Genomic DNA, 15,830 nt, shown 5'->3' on the forward strand with positions numbered 1-15,830 from the left:
CCCACCTTGGTCTCCCAAACTGCTGGGATTACAGGTGTGAGCCACCTGCCCGGCCCTGCTTTTTTAAGAGAAAAAAACACAAGTGTCTCTTTTCCTATGAGGTGTTCTACTGGGATTGAGGTATTTCTCTGGAAAGGGCTGGATCCGATCTTGCTCTGTGGCAGTCTCCCTGTGTATGTACAAAAGCTTAGGTAGAGGCACTAATGTGGGTGATGGCCCTTTGAACCTGTGCCTAAAACAATCTACCACAAGGAATCCTGACTTTGTTGGCACAAGTGGACCGTCATCTTCTGAAACCAGCTTTTCACTCTACAGTGGACATTTTGACCGACAATGAGGTTTGCCCAGCCCACAGGCATTCCCCTTCCCTTGCTGCTACCAGGGAGACCCAGATTCTGTCCAGGTGGGGGTTGTGGTGTACTTTGAGATGGTATGCCTAAGCAAGGCACAGGAAATTCTGCTCCCCTCTGCAGGGACTAGTTCAGAGGTGCTGTATGTTCAACAGCTCCTTAGAGGCTGTCTCTCAGGGACTTCTGGAAAAGATTTCCCACCACGATAAAAAGACTGCACAAAAAGAAACCCTGTACTTCCTTGTCAAGTGGGGATGTGAAAGCTGGAGCTGCTACCATCATCTGATCATAAGGGGAAGGCCAAAGAAATCTAGTAAGAAGCTGACCCAGTGCCCTGATGCTGTGAAGCAATGAAGTAATAATGGCCAGTGTCTGGGGCTTTCATGTTTCCCACATAACTGATGATGCTGAAGCCACTTTTAGTCAGGTGTTCTGTTATTATTCGTAGCTGAAAGGTTCCTGCTACTTCTTCCCTTGATTTAAAAGGCAGCTCTCTGAGAAGACCAAGAACTGTATTCCCCACTCCCTGCAAGAGACAACTACTCACCTGAAAATGGTGTTTATTATTCTCTTGCATGTTTTTATACTTTTACTACTTGGGTATGTATCCACTATTAACAGTATTTGCTGCAAGTTTCTCTACTGAATTTAAAAAAGGTATTTTACCTTCTATAACTTTTTCCCTCAATATTATGTTTCAGAGTTTTAGCTATATTGACACATGTAGTTCTAGGTAATTCATTTTAATTGTTGAACAGTTATCTATTTTAGGAATTTACCATAATTTATTAATCTACTCCCTTGTCAGTTTACTTGTAGATCTAATCTATCTCCTTGTTACCAAGTGAAAGAGTTTCTCGAAGATTTATACTAAAAGTCAAATTTCTCAGTCACAGAGGATAAGTACCTCCAGATATTTTCAAGTTGGTCTCTTTTGGTAGATCAACTGCAGAGATAGTGACCATTCTCCACCTCTCCCTACATCCATATCCTTTGACATTAATTCTGCAGCTCTTCCCATCAAGGGATAGAATCTACTTACCCATCCCTATATCTAGACTTGCCTTGTGTCTTCGGCCAACAGAATGTAGAAGAATGGTTTACCAGGTCCAAGCCTAGGCCTCAAGAGGCCTTGTAGTTTCCACTTTTCCTCCTGGAACTCTGCCATCGGCATATGAATAAGCCTGAGCTTAGGCTCCTAAAGGATGAAAGACCACAGCTGTCTAGGCTGAGTGGCCTACAGCCAGCTAACCTCCAAACTGTGTGAGAGCATAGCCAAGATCAGCAGAGTTGCCTACTCAACTCAGAGCTAGCTGCAGACATCTGAATAGTCCAGCTGACACCAGAAGTTGACCTTGGCTTGTAAGGAGTAATAAGTACTATTTTAAGCCACTGCATTTTGGAATAGTTTGTTATACAGCAAACTGATACACTCTCCAAAGTACACAGGCAGTGTATGAGTTGCCATCACTCTTGTTCCTCTTCAATATTTAGTATTTGTTGTTAGCCATTTTCCCTCCCCACTTCTGGGTCAATATGAGTGTGAAATTGCATTACATTATTTTTTAACTGAAATTGTGCACTTTTTCCTACTTCAGTGAACATTCAGATTTCCTCTTAGGGGCATTATATATTCACAGCCTTATTTGACAAGTGACCATCATAATGAATCTGCAGTTCTTTGTATCTTTATTTATTTATTTATTTATTTTGAGACCAGTCTCTGTAGCCCAGGCAGGAGTACAGTGGTGCAATCATGGCTCACTGCAGCCTTGACCTCCCAGGCTCAAGCGATCCTCCTGCCTCAGCCTCCTGAGTAGCTGGGACTACAGGCACGTGCCATCACAACTGGCTTTTTTTTTTTTTTGGTAGAGATGAGGTTTTGCCATGTTGCCCAGGCTGGTCTCAAACTGCTGGGCTCAGGCAATTCTTCCATTTCAGCTTCCTTCTTGATACTTATGCTCTGTGGCAAATATTTTCTCCCAATCTGGCACTTGTCTTTTACCCTTGTTTTCAATGTTCTTTGCTGAGCATATTTTATTAGACACAGTTTATTTTACTTATCTTTACCTTTTGTGTTAGTTATCTTGTTTAAGAAACACATCCATGGCCGGGTGCGGTGGCTCATGCCTGTAATCCCAGCACTTTGGGAGGCCGAGGTGGGCAGATTGCCTCAGCTCAGGAGTTTCAGACCAGCCTGGGCAATATGGTGAAACCAGTCTCTACTAAAATACAAAAAATTAGCCGAGCATGGTGGCGTGTGCCTGTAGTCCCAGTTACTCGGGAGGCTGAGGCAGGAGAATTGCTTGAACCTGGGAGGCGGAGATTGCAGTGAGCCAAGATTGCGCCACTGCACTCCAGCCTGGGTGACAGAGCGAGAGACTCCGTCTCAAAAAAACAAAACAAAAAACAAAAAAACACATCCCTATTCCTATGGCATAAAATTACAGTCACATATCTTTTCTAATTATCTGAGAGTTTTATCGTACGATCCATCTGTAATTTATTTCCAAATAGCCAATGGTCTAGAGACTCCAGAATAGAGCCACAGATATTACTGTTTTACTAATTTAGTTGTTAATTTATGTACTAATAGCATATGCATATGATTTTAACTAATACAACTTTATCTTAATACTTGGAATACCCTTCTCTGCTCTTCTTTAACAAAAACTTCTAAGCCATTTTTGTACCTTTATCCATCCATATAAATGCCAAAAATCAGTTTTTTCAGATATTTTGGCAGTGGTGCAAACACAGCTTACTGCAGCCTTGACCTGCTGGGCTCAAGTGATCCTCCCTCCTCGGCCTCCTGAGTAACGCGGATCACAGATGCGTGTCACCATACCTGGCAATTTTTTTTTTTTTTTTTTTTTTTTTTTTTTGTAGAATTGGGGTTCTCATTATGTTGCCCAGGCTAGTCAGAACCAGAAATATTCAGCTGGTTTTCTTAGATATCAATCTTATCTCTTGCAGTCCTTCTAAATGTGTTCACTAATTCTATTAATAATAGTTCCTGTTGTTTTTCTTTCGTTTTCTAAGTTAATAATCACATCTTCTGTAAATAAGGACAATTTTGTCTCTGGAATCTTTACAATTTGTATTTATTTTTCTTGTCTTAATTGCAGTGGCTAGGATCACAGTTCAATATTAAATGTTAGCATAATAGCAAGCATAACTGTCTTATTCTTATCTGTCATGGGAATGCTTTGAACATTTCAAAAATACGATGTTTGCTATTGGTTTTATTAGATACTCTATCAGGTTAAGGAAGTTCCTTTTGTTTTTAGCTTGCTAACAGTTTTTATAATGAATAGATGCTGAATTTTAATAAATTTTTACTTAGAATTTGTGCAAATTCTCATTCATAAATGACAATTTACTGTTCTTTTCTAGTTTAATTATCGAGATCAGGGGTCAGCAAACTACAGCTTACAGGCCAAATCCATCCTGCCATCAGTTTTTGTAAATAAAGTTTTACTGGAACATAGCTGTGTCATTCGTTTAAGTATTGTCTACGGCTGCTTTCACATCACAATAGGAGAGCTGAGTGGCTAAAACAGATACCATATGAATTCTAAAGCCTAAAACATTTACTATCTGGCCCTTTATAGAAAGTCTGCTACGAGGCCAGGCGCAGTGGCTCATGCCTGTGATCTCAGCACTCTGGAAAGCCGAGGCAGGTGGATTACCAGAGGTCAGGAGTTCGAGAGTAGCCTGGCCAACATGGTGAAACCCCCATCTCTACTAAAAGTACAAAATCAGCTGGGTGTCGTGGCGCATGCCTGTAATCCCAGCTACTCGGGAGGCTGAAGGAGGAGAACCACTTGAACCTGGGATGCAGAGGTTGCAGTGAGCTGATTACGCCACTGTACTCCAGCCTGGGTGACAAGAGTGAAACTCTGTCTCAAAAAAAAAAAAAAAAAAAAGAAAGTTTGCTATCGCTGGGCATGGTGGCTCATACCTGTAATCCTAGCACTTTGGGAGGCTAAGGTGGAAAGACTGTGAGCCCAGGAGTTCAAGACCAGCCTGGGCAACATAGTGAGACCCCATATCGAAAGAAGGAAAGGAAAGGAAAGGAAAAGAAAGGAAAAAGGAAAGGAAGAGTTTGCTAATCATTAATCAAGATCTTACCAGTCTTACAAAAGGTATGTAACTATCCTCCTCTAAATAGTCTTCAAGAATATACATATTTTAAAATTTTAGTAAAATTAATCTAGTCTGATCTTGGTATTTTTTGGCAGGAAGGAAGGTGATTACTACTTAATTTAAGGACTAATGATCTATGTGTAGGTTTTCAAATTTTTCTTTTTCCTTTTTTTTTTTGTTTTTTTGGAGAAAGGCTCTTACTCTGTCTCCCAGTCTGGAGTGCAGTGGCGCAGATCATGGCTCACTGCAGCCTTGACTACCCAGGCTGAAGCAATCCTCCCACCTCAGCCTCCTGAGTAGCTGGGACAACAGGGTGCACCATCATGCCCAGCTAATTAAAAACTTTTTTTTTTTTTTTTTGGTAGAGATGAGGTCTCACTATATTGCCCAGGTTGGTCTTGAACTCCTGGGCTCAAGTGATCCTCCTGCCCTCGCCTCCCAAAGTGCTGGGATTATAGGCATGAGCCACTGTGCCCGGTCTGAATTTTTTTTTTTTTTTTTTTTTTTTTGAGACAGAGTCTTGCTCTGTCACCCAGGCAGGAGAGCAATGGCGTGATACTGGCTCACTGCAACCTCCATCTTCCAGGTTCAATCAGTTCTCCTGCCTCAGTCTCCCTAGTAGCTGGGACTACAGGCACGTGCCACCATGCCTGGCTAATTTTTTAATTTTTAGTAGAGATGGGGTTTTACCATGTTGGCAGGCTGGTCTCGAACTCCTGACTTCAAGTGATCCACTCGCCTTGGCCTCCCAAAGTGCTGGGATTATAGGCGTGTGAGCCACCACGCCCAGCCTGAATTATTTTAAAAGTAAATTTGGGTAGGATTTTCTGGAAAATTTCTATGAAAGTTTTCAGATCTTTCTGTTTGTAGCTCTTTGTAACATTCTTATAATTTAAAAACCTCTATTATAAATCTGTGGTTATTTCCCTTTTTTGTTCTTCATTTATTTCTGTCTTCCTATTTATCAGTCTTGCCAGAAGTTTATCTATTTTATTAGACAAATAAAAATAACCCACTTTTGGTTTTGTTGGTCATTTCTATTTTTCTATTAATTTCTACCCCTTTCCTTGTTATTTCTGTCCCTTTACTTCCTTTGGGCTTGCTCTTGTTTTTTCCAGCTTCTTGAGTTGATTGCTCAATTTACTTAACGTCCATTTAACTTTCTAATATAAGCATCTAAGCATCAAAGAACTGACTGAGCTGTATCCCGTAAGTCATGATGTGAAGTGCTTTCACAGCTCTTCTGCTCTATTTGCTTATTTCTATGATGATTTGTGCTTTAACTCATGGATTATTTAGAACATTTTTTTGTTTCCAAACCTGTGTTTCTCTCTCTTTCAAGCTGGCTCTGTTGTTGGTTTCTAATTCTACTGCATTCTATCAGAGTATATACAGTCTATAATACTGATGATGCTCTGGAATTTTTAACCATTCCTGTACAACTTAACATGTGGTTATGTTCTTATCCTTCCATGCATGCTTGAAAAAATTACGTATTCTTTGTTGGGTGGAAGCTTCTCTCTCAACATATCTATGTGCTCAATCTTGTTAATGGTGTTATTTAACCTCTATTTTTCTGTTTGCCACTTTTCAATCACTTTCTAAATGAGATTTTATTGTTCTTCATAGGGACTATCAAGCACAAAATGAGATGTTTTGAAGTCTTCAATATGGCTATTGAGTTGACTTTCCCCGTAACTCTGATAATTTTTACTTTATATTGATGGAGGTTTACTAGGTGTACATTAAGTTCATGACTACCATACTGTCTTGGCAGTCCTTACATTTACTTCCTGTGTAGCAAGCTTTGTGATAAGCAGCTTGTATTCATAAGTCCATGGAATTAAGAGAAAGCTGTTAAGTGGCAACAAGGCCGGATAAGTTACATTTGTCTAAATCCAGCAGCTGTTGGTAGTTTAACGATTGTGGAATCTCCAGAGGCAAGGGTTGCATTTAGTGTTTGCTGAAACCACTGTTAATTATATTGAAGTCAATGGAAAGTAAGCTGTGGATATATTTCCTAATGACTAAAAATCCTTTCCTGGAATGTGGAGCTGGATGGAAAAGCAAACACAACTGTTTTGGAAGACTCTTCTGGACTCATTTCATTTCGCAGAAGGCGACTGGCTCCTGTCCCAGTAATTCCACCTCTATTCAGGGTTCCAACACAAACCAGCTCAAATACAGTACTATATTCTCTCTAACAGGGCATATTCTAATCTGTACACTTAGCCACTAAACTTAATATTTGTCAATGGGTACCATTCAATGTATTATAACACAGACCACTAAACTGAGTAAAAAGATATCTTTAATTCCAGTTGTTAAAAAGTGGTTAAAAAGTAATTTAGAGTAGTTATTTGTACTAAAAGTGTGCTAACAGCAAAATACCTTTAAATTAGTCAATTTAAAATATCAGTTCCTCGACTAAGGAGCAATTCTTTTTTAAACGCTACTAGCTTTTGAGATAAATTATACACAGAAATGAGTGTATTTACAACAATGTGGCCTATGCGCAATTTGTGAAGAGGAGTCTATTAAAAGCAAGATACTCCTGTGCAGTATCTTAGAGAAGCAAAAACATTTATATCATTATTTTCAAGTCAAAGGAGAAAAAAGAGATATAATTCTGAAACATTGGGTGTGATGGTACACAACTGTAATCCCAGCCACTTGGGAGGCTGGGTAGCAGGACTGCATGAGCCCAGGAGTTCAAGACCAGCGTGGGCAACATATCAAGACCCTGTCTCTAAAAATAATAACAATAATAAAAAATAATAATTCTAAAACTTTAAAAAAAGTTGAGGCCAGGTGTGGTGGCTCATGCCTGCAATGCCAGCACTTTTGGAGGTCGAGGCAAGACGATGGCTTGAGGCCAGGAGTTCGAGACCAGCCTGGGAAACAAAGCGAGACCCCATCTCTACAAAAATAAAAAAATTAGCCAGGCATGGTGGCACGCCTGTAGTCTTAGCTACTCAGGAGGGTGAGATGGGAGGATCGCTTGAGCCCAGGAGGTTGAGCCTGCAGTGAGCTATGACTGCACCACTGCTCTCCAGTCTGGGCAACAGTGGGAGAACCTGTCTCTAAAAATTTTAACAAGAAATGCAGTGGTCAACTACGTATATTATCTCTTCTTCCAAGGAACCCATTAAAATGAAGGATAAGAACAAAAGAGAAAAATGAAATAATATAAGATGCTCAATTAAAACCACAAAAGGCAGAGAAAGAATGGAAGAACAGGAACAGAGAACAAAGGGCAATGGACAGAAAGCTATCAAACATGGGAGATATTAATCCAACTACACTTTAAACATCAATGGTCTAAATACATCAATTAAAAGACAGGGTTGGGTGCAGGGGCTCATGCCTGTAATCTCAGCACTTTGGGCGGCTGAGGCAGATGGATCACTTGAGGTCAGGAGTTTGAGACCAGCCTAGCCAACATGGTGAAACCCCATCTCTCCTAAAAATACAAAAAAATTAGCTGGGCATGGTGGCACATGCCTGTAATCCCAGCTACTCAGGAGGCTGAGGCAGGAGTATCGCTTGAACCTAGGAGGCAGAGGTTGCGGTGAACCAAGATCGTGCCACTGCACTCCAGCTGGGAGACACAGAGAAACTCTGTCTCAAAAAAAAAAAAAAAAAAAAAAAAAAAAAAAAAAAAAAAAAAAAAAAAAAGATAGGCCAGGTGCCAGGTGGCTCACACCAGTAATCCCAGCACTTAGGGAGGCGGAGGTGGGAGGATCACTTGAGCCTAGAAATTTGAGATCAGCCTGGTCAACATAGGGACACCCTCTCTCTACAAGAAATAAATAATTAGCTAGGCATAGTGGTGTGTGCCTACATGTAATCACAGCTACTCAAGAAGCTGAGATGGGTGGACAACTTGAGGCTGGGAGGTCGAGACTGCAGTGAGCACTGATTGCACCACTGCACTCCAGCCTGGGAGACAGCGTGAGATCGTCTCTCAAAAAAAAAAAAAAAAAATACTGAGACTGTCAGAGTGCATCACAAAACAAGAGTCATCCAATATGTTTAATATGTTGTCTACAAGAAAACCACTTTAAGTATAAAAACACATACCTTGAAAGTAAAGGGATGGAGAGTGATACATACCGTGCTAACACTAATCAAATGCAAGCAGGAGTAACTAACTACACTAATCTCAGAAAAAGCAGACTTCAGAGCTTGAAAGCTGTCAGGAATAGAGAAACATTACACAATGATAAAGGGGTCAGTTCTACAAGATGACATAATAATCCTTAATGTGTATATGCCTAACAACAGAACATCAAAATACATGAAGCAAAAACTGACAGAACTGCAAGGAGAAGTAGATGAATCCATTATTACTGTTGGGGACTTCAATACCCCTCTATCGAAACAGGCAGATCTAGGTGGCAGAAAATCAAATTGACATAAGTGACCTCTATAGACCACTTCATCCAACAACAGCAGAATACACATTATTCTCAAGCTCACATGGAACATTCAACAAGACAGACCACATTCTGAACTACAAGACACACCTTAACAAATCTGAAAGAATAGTAATCATTAAAATGTATGCTCTCAGACCACAATGGAGTTAAGAAATCAATCAATTTGGCTGGGGACAGTGGCTCACACCTGTAATCCCAGCATTTTGGGAGGCCAAGATGGGAGGATCACTTGAGCTCAGGAGTTCGGGACCAGCCTGGGCAGCATAATGAAACCCTATCTCAAAAAAAAGAAAAAAAAGAAAGAAGTCAATAACTGAAAGATTGCTGGAAAATCCTCTAATATTTGGAGATTAAACAACACACTTCTAAATAACATATGAATTAAAGCAGAAATCTCAAGAAAATTTTTGAATAAAAATAAAAATATAACATCAAAATTTGTGGGATGCAGTGAGAGTGGTGCTTAGAGGAAAACTTTAGGCTAAATGCATATATTAGAAAAGAAAGATCTAAAATTAATAATCTAAGCTTTTACCTTAGGAAACTAGAAAAAGAGCAAATTAAATCCAAGTAAGCATAAGAAAATAATTAAAAATTAGAACAGAAATCAAAGAAGTTGAGAAAGAAAATCAATTGAGAGGATGAACATAACCCAAAACTGGTTATTTAAAAGGTCAGTAAAATTAAAAAGCCTAAAAGTATACAAACGTATGTTTAAAATATGTAATAAAAATAAAATCATATAAAAATTGATAAGTCTTCAGCCACGCTAATTAAGAAAAAAAGAAGACACAAATTACTAATATTAGACATGAAAGAGGAGACATCATTAAAGATGCCATGAACAAAAAAGAGGAAAATAAAAGAAAACTATGAACAACCCTGTGCCCATGGATTTCACAACCTACATGAAATGACCAATTCCTGGAAAGGTAGAATCTGTCAAAACTCACGTAAGAAAAAACAATCTCAATAAGCCTGTACCTATTAGAGAAATTAAATCAATAATTAATAACTGGCTGGGTGCGGTGGTGCATGCCTGTAATCCTAGCACTTTGGGACGCTGAGGTGGGAGGACTGCTTGAGGCCAGAAGTTTGAGACAAGGAGGAGCAAAACCAGTGAGACCCATCTCTGCAAAAAATAAAAAAATGAGCTGAGCATAGTGGTCTGTTCATGTAGTCTCGGCTACTCAGGAGGCTGAGGCTGGAAGACTGCTTGGGCCCAGGAGTTTGAGGCTCCAGTGAGCTATGTTTGTACCACTGCACGCCAGCCTGGGTGACAGAGCAAGACCCTGTCTCAAAAATAATAACAAAAGCAGGGTATGGTGGCTCACGCCTGTAATCCCAGAACTTTGGGAGGCCGAGGCAGGAGGATCACTTGAGGTCATGAGTTCAGGACCAGCCTGGCCAACACAGTGAAACCCTGTGTCTACTAAAAATACAAAAATTAGCCGGGCGCGGTGGTACATGCCTGTAATTCCAGTTACTCTGGAGGCTGAGGCGGGAGAATCACTTGAACTGGGAAGCGGAGGTTGCAGTGAGCTGAGATCATGCCACTGCACTCCAGCCTGGGCAACAGAGTGAGACTCTGTCTCAAATAACAACAACATCCACCACCACCACCACCACCATAATAACCTTCCAAAACAGAAAACACCAAGCCCAGATGGGCCACTGGTGAATTCTACAAGTTAAGGAAAAAATTACACCAATTCTCTACAATTTCTTTTAGAAGAAAGAATACTTCCTAACTTAGTCTATGAGGCCAGCGTTACCCTCATACCAAAACAGGACAAATACATCACAAGAAAACTACAGACCAATATCTTGTAGTAAATCAAATCCAACAATGTGTAAAAATAATTACACCTAAAACCAAGTGGGATTTATCTCTCCCAAGGCTGGTTCGATGTTCAATAATCAATTAATGTATTCCATCGCATCAACAAGCTAAAAGTCACATGATCAGGTATAGATGCAGAAAAAGCATGTAACGAAATTATACCTACTCATGATAAAAGAAACTCTCAACCTCCAATCACAGTTGGACACAGAAGGAAAAAAAAAAAAAAACTCTCGACAAACTAGGAACAGAGGAAGACTTCCTCAATTTGATACAGAGTAAGTACAAAAAACTATCGCTAACATCATGCTTAATGGTGAGAAACCAGAAGCTTAATGGTGAGAAACTAGAATAAAACAAAACTGTATTCGTTTGCAGATGACATGATTTTAATTTTTTAAAAATCCAAAAGGATTGACAAAAAAATTGTGAAATTAAAACAATTAGCTTGTTTTTAGGCTGCAAGATACAAGGGTAATGTACAAAAGTCAATTGCTTTTCTACATCCCAAGAATAAACAAGTAGAATTTCAAATTAAAAACATATCATTTAATTTACATTAGCACCTCCTAAAGTGAAATAATTAGGTATAAATTTAAAACACACATGTACAAGATCTATATAAAAAAACCACAAAACTTTCAGATATCAAAGAAAAACTAAATAAATGGCAACAATCCATGTTAATGAATAGGAAGACTCAACATTATTAATATGTCAGTTCTTCCCAACTTGATTTACAGATTCAACACAATCCCAATTAAAATCCCAGAAAATTATTTTGTGAATATTGAAAAAGTGATCCTAAAGTTTATAAGGAGATGCAAAAGCCCAGACAGTCAACTCGTTAAGAAAGGAGAACAAAGTTGGAGAACGGATACCCAACTTCAAGACTTACTATAATGCTACAGTAATCAAGACAGTGTGGTTTTAGCAAGAGACAAATAAATAAATAGATGGAACAATAGCAAGCCCAGAAATAGACCTACATCAATACAATACACAAATCTTTGACAAAGGAATAAGAACGATACAATGGAGAAAAAAATTGTCTTTTCTACATATGATGCTGGCATTTTTGCCTGGCCATCCACATGCAGAAAAATCAATCTAGACACAAACTTTGTACCCTTAAAAAAAATTAACTCAAAATGGATCACAGACCTAAATGTAAAACGCAAAACTATAATACTCCCAGAAGGTAACACAAGGGAAAATATAGGTGATCGTTGGTTTGGCAATGAATTTTTAGATGCAACACCAAAGGCAGAATACCTGAAAGAAAAAATTGATAAGATGAACTTCATTAAAATAGAAAACACCTATTAGGATAGCTAAAATTGGCAGGGTGTGGGTGGCTCACACCTGTAATCCCAGTACTTTGGGAGGCTGAGGTGGGCGGATCACTTGAGGTCAGGAGTTCAAGACCAGCCTGGCCAACATGCCAAAACCCCGTCTCTACTAAAAATACAAAAATTAGCCGAGTGTGGTGGTGCGCGCCTATAATTCCAGCTACTTGGGAGACTGAGGCAGGAAAATCGCTTGAACCTGGGAGGTGGAGGTTGCAGTGAGCTGTGATCTTGCCACTGCACTCCAGCCTGGGCAACAAAGTGAGACTCATCACCAAAAAAAAAAAAAAAAGATAGCTAAAATCTAAAACACTGACAACACCAGATGCTGGTGAGGATGTGGAACAACAGGAACTCTTATTTGCTCTCTGGAAAGAATGCAAAATGATACAGCGACATTGGCAGTTTCTTACAAAACTATACATACCATTACCACATAAAGCAATTGCACTCCTTGGTGTTTACCTAAATTAGGAGGTGAAAGCTTATGTCCATGCAAAAACTTGCATATCAATGTGGGTCTATTTCTGGGCTCACTATTGTTCCATTTATTTATATGTCTCTTACTAAAACCACACTGTCCTGATTACTGTATAGCAGCTTTATTAATAACTGCCAAAACTCGGAAGCAACGTCCGAGTCCACGATGTCCTTCAGTAGGTGAATGGATAAATAAGGTGTGGTACATTTACACAAAGGATTATTATTCGGTGCTCAAAGAAATGAACTATCAAGTTATGTATGTAAGGACATGGAGAGGGCCAGGCATGGTGGCTCACGTCTATAATCCCACCACTTTGGGAGGCTGAGGTGGGTGGATCACCTGAGGTCAGGAGTTTGAGACCAGCCTGGCCAACATGGCGAAACCCCCTCTCTACTAAAACTACAAAAATTAGCTGGGCATGGTGGCGCACGACTACAGGCCTGTACTCCCAGACACCAGGGAGGCTGAGGTAAGAGAACTGCTTGAGCCTGGGAGGCAAAGCTTGCAGTGAGCTGAGACTGCACCACTGCACTCCGGCCTGGGTGACAGAGCGAGACCTTGTCTCTGAAAAAAAAACCAGAAAAATAAAATAAAGACATGGAGGAATCTTAAATGCGTATTACTAAGTGGAAGAAGTCAATCTGAAAAGGCTACATACTGTATATTCCAACTATAAGACATTCTAGGAGAAGCAAAAGTATGAAAACAGTAAAAGATCAGTGGTTGTCAGGAGTTTAGGGGAGGGAGGGATGATACACAGAGCACAGAGGATTTTTATAGGGCAGTGAAACTATTCTGTGTGATACTATAATTCTGGATACATGTCATTATGCCTTTCTACAAATCCAAAGAAAGTACAACACCAAGAGGGAACCTTATGAAAACGAGGGATTCGGGGTGATTATGATGTGTCAGTGTTGGTACATTGACCGTAGCAAATGTACTGCTGTGGTGTGAGATGTTGATAATGGGGGCTATGCACACGTAGGGTCGGTGGGTATATGGGAACTCTGTGTGGTTTGCACTCAATTTTGCTGTGAATCTAAAACGGCTTAAAAAAAAAAAAGTTAAGGCCGGGCGCAGTGGCTCACGCCTGTAATTCCAACACTTTGGGAGGCTGAGGCGGGCAGATCACGAGGTCAGGAGATCGAGACCATCCTGGCTAACACAGTGAAACCCTATCTCTACTAAAAATACAAAAAATTAGGCCAAGCGCGGTGGCTCACGCTTGTAATCCCAGCACTTTGGGAGGCCCAGGCGGGTGGATCATCTGAGGCTGGGAGTTCGAGACCAGCCTGACCAACATGGAGAAACCCCGTCTCTACTAAAAATACAAAATTAGCCAGGCGTGGTGGCACATGCCTGTAATCCCAGCTACTCGGGAGGCTGAGGCAAGAGAATCACTTGAACCCAGGAGGCGGAGGATGTGGTGAGCCAAGATTGCACCATTGCACTCCAGCCTGGGCAATAAGGGTGAAACTCCGTCTCAAAAAAAAAAAAATTCTGAGCATAAAAAAATTAAATAAACCTTGGCTGGGGGCGGTGGCTCATGCCTATAATCCCAGCATTTTGGGAGGCCAAGGCGGGTGGATCACTTGAGGCCAGGAGTTTGAGACCAACCTGGCCAATATGGCAAAACCCCATCTCTACTGAAAATATAAGGCCGGGCGCAGTGGCTCACACCTGTAATCCCAGCACTTTGGAAGGCCGAGGTGGGTGGACGACCTGAGGTCAGCTGTTTGAAACCAGCCTGGTCAACATGGCATAACCCTGTCTCTACTAAAAAAAAAAAAAAAAAAATTACCCAGGCCTGGTGGTATGCGCCTGCAGTCCCAGCTACTCGGGAGGCTGAGGCAGAAGAATCACTTGAACCTGGAAGGTGGGTGCTGCAGTGAACCAAGATCCAGCCACTGCATTCCAGCCTGGGCAACAGAGTGAGACTCTGTCTCAAAAAAAAAAAAAAAAATTAAACCCTAATGCCAAAAGTAGTTTCTTTCCTAACTACATAAAGGAACCTAAAATTATTTATATACTTCATTAACTTAACTAGCATCCTCCTAACAACGGTAATAGGGTGATGGGAGGAGAAAAGAGAAGATGAAAGCCCAGGGCTTTGGGAGACACTCCTGAGGGTTCAGGTCATAAGTCACTGTGTGATTCGGGGCAAATTAGTCTGTTTTTCTAGTAATAATAATACCTAGCATTTGAGTTCTTACTAAATGTCTACCTGTGAAGCAGATATTATATCATGATATCTATGCTCCGGACAAGAAAATTGATATCTAGAGATGATAAATAATTTGCCAATACTATGCAGTTAAACATCAGCACCAGGATTAGAACCTAGGTGCCTCTGATTTTAAAGCATATACACGTATCAACCTCCTGATCTCTGCCGCTGGGAAAATAAATCAGGACACCTTCTGCAGGGGAGATAAGTTTATTTAAATGGAACATTAAATTATTTTTTGAATTTGCAGTTACTACAGGGGTATTACATAAATCTTTTGCCTTTTAGACTACCTGAAAAATCCACATTAAGGACCAGGTTTAAAAAGGGAGTGGGGGGAACAAACACTTAAGAAAAACTGGTTTTGAATTCTTAAGTGATTCTGGTTCTCTTATTACCTGAAAGCCTCCTCAATTTTCTAGCTTTCATTTTAAAGGCAGAACTGCCAGTTTCAGTTTGAAATGACAAAAAAATTCAACTTTGCCAAATACCACTACAAAGGTGGTCTTGTTCTTTCTGAAACATTTAATATCACATCTATTCTATTCACTCACCAGAGATGAACGGTTTATTTGAAAGCTGCAATAAGCTGCATCTACCTTTCTTATTCTCAATCTGCTAAATGACATCATTTTTTACTTTAGACATTCTAATAGGTATGTAGTGGCATCTCACTATTCAATGGCATTAAAGGTAATTTATTTCATTAAATTTTTTTAAGACAGAGCACAACCCTGTTTCAAAAAAAGTTTACTCATTTAGATCATGTACAGACATATCTGTTATAAATATGTATTCAAAAGAAAAAACTGAAGGCCTGCAGTTATAGGTTTCTGTGTGACCAAAAGTATAGATTTAAACTAGATAACCTCTTGACATCCTTTCAACAATGTGATTCTATGACCCCATAAAAATAAATTCCACTTAATATCACAGTCTCTATACACAACAGGCATACTACCTTAGACTTCTCAAGTTTAAGG

The 15,830-nt window shown here is 40.0% G+C and overlaps 2 protein-coding genes across 2 annotated transcripts in view, besides 1 other annotated feature; both read right to left on the bottom strand.

Annotated features, from left to right (window-relative positions):
- Nucleotides 1-15,830, bottom strand: part of NUDT3 (nudix hydrolase 3) — a 112,991-nt gene that overhangs the window by 20,314 nt on the left and 76,847 nt on the right. The window lies entirely within an intron of this gene.
- RPS10-NUDT3 (RPS10-NUDT3 readthrough) overlaps nt 1-15,830 on the bottom strand; it is a 138,876-nt gene that overhangs the window by 12,799 nt on the left and 110,247 nt on the right. The window lies entirely within an intron of this gene.
- Nucleotides 344-483: an enhancer, noted in NCBI's record as "active region_24380". NCBI's record gives its function as "activates an Ori minimal core promoter by ATAC-STARR-seq in GM12878 lymphoblastoid cells {active_cell/tissue: GM12878}" and the evidence as "EXISTENCE:reporter gene assay evidence [ECO:0000049][PMID:35858748]".

Source organism: Homo sapiens, chromosome 6 (genome assembly GCF_000001405.40).
Source record: "Homo sapiens chromosome 6, GRCh38.p14 Primary Assembly".
NCBI classification, from domain to species: Eukaryota; Metazoa; Chordata; class Mammalia; order Primates; family Hominidae; genus Homo; species Homo sapiens.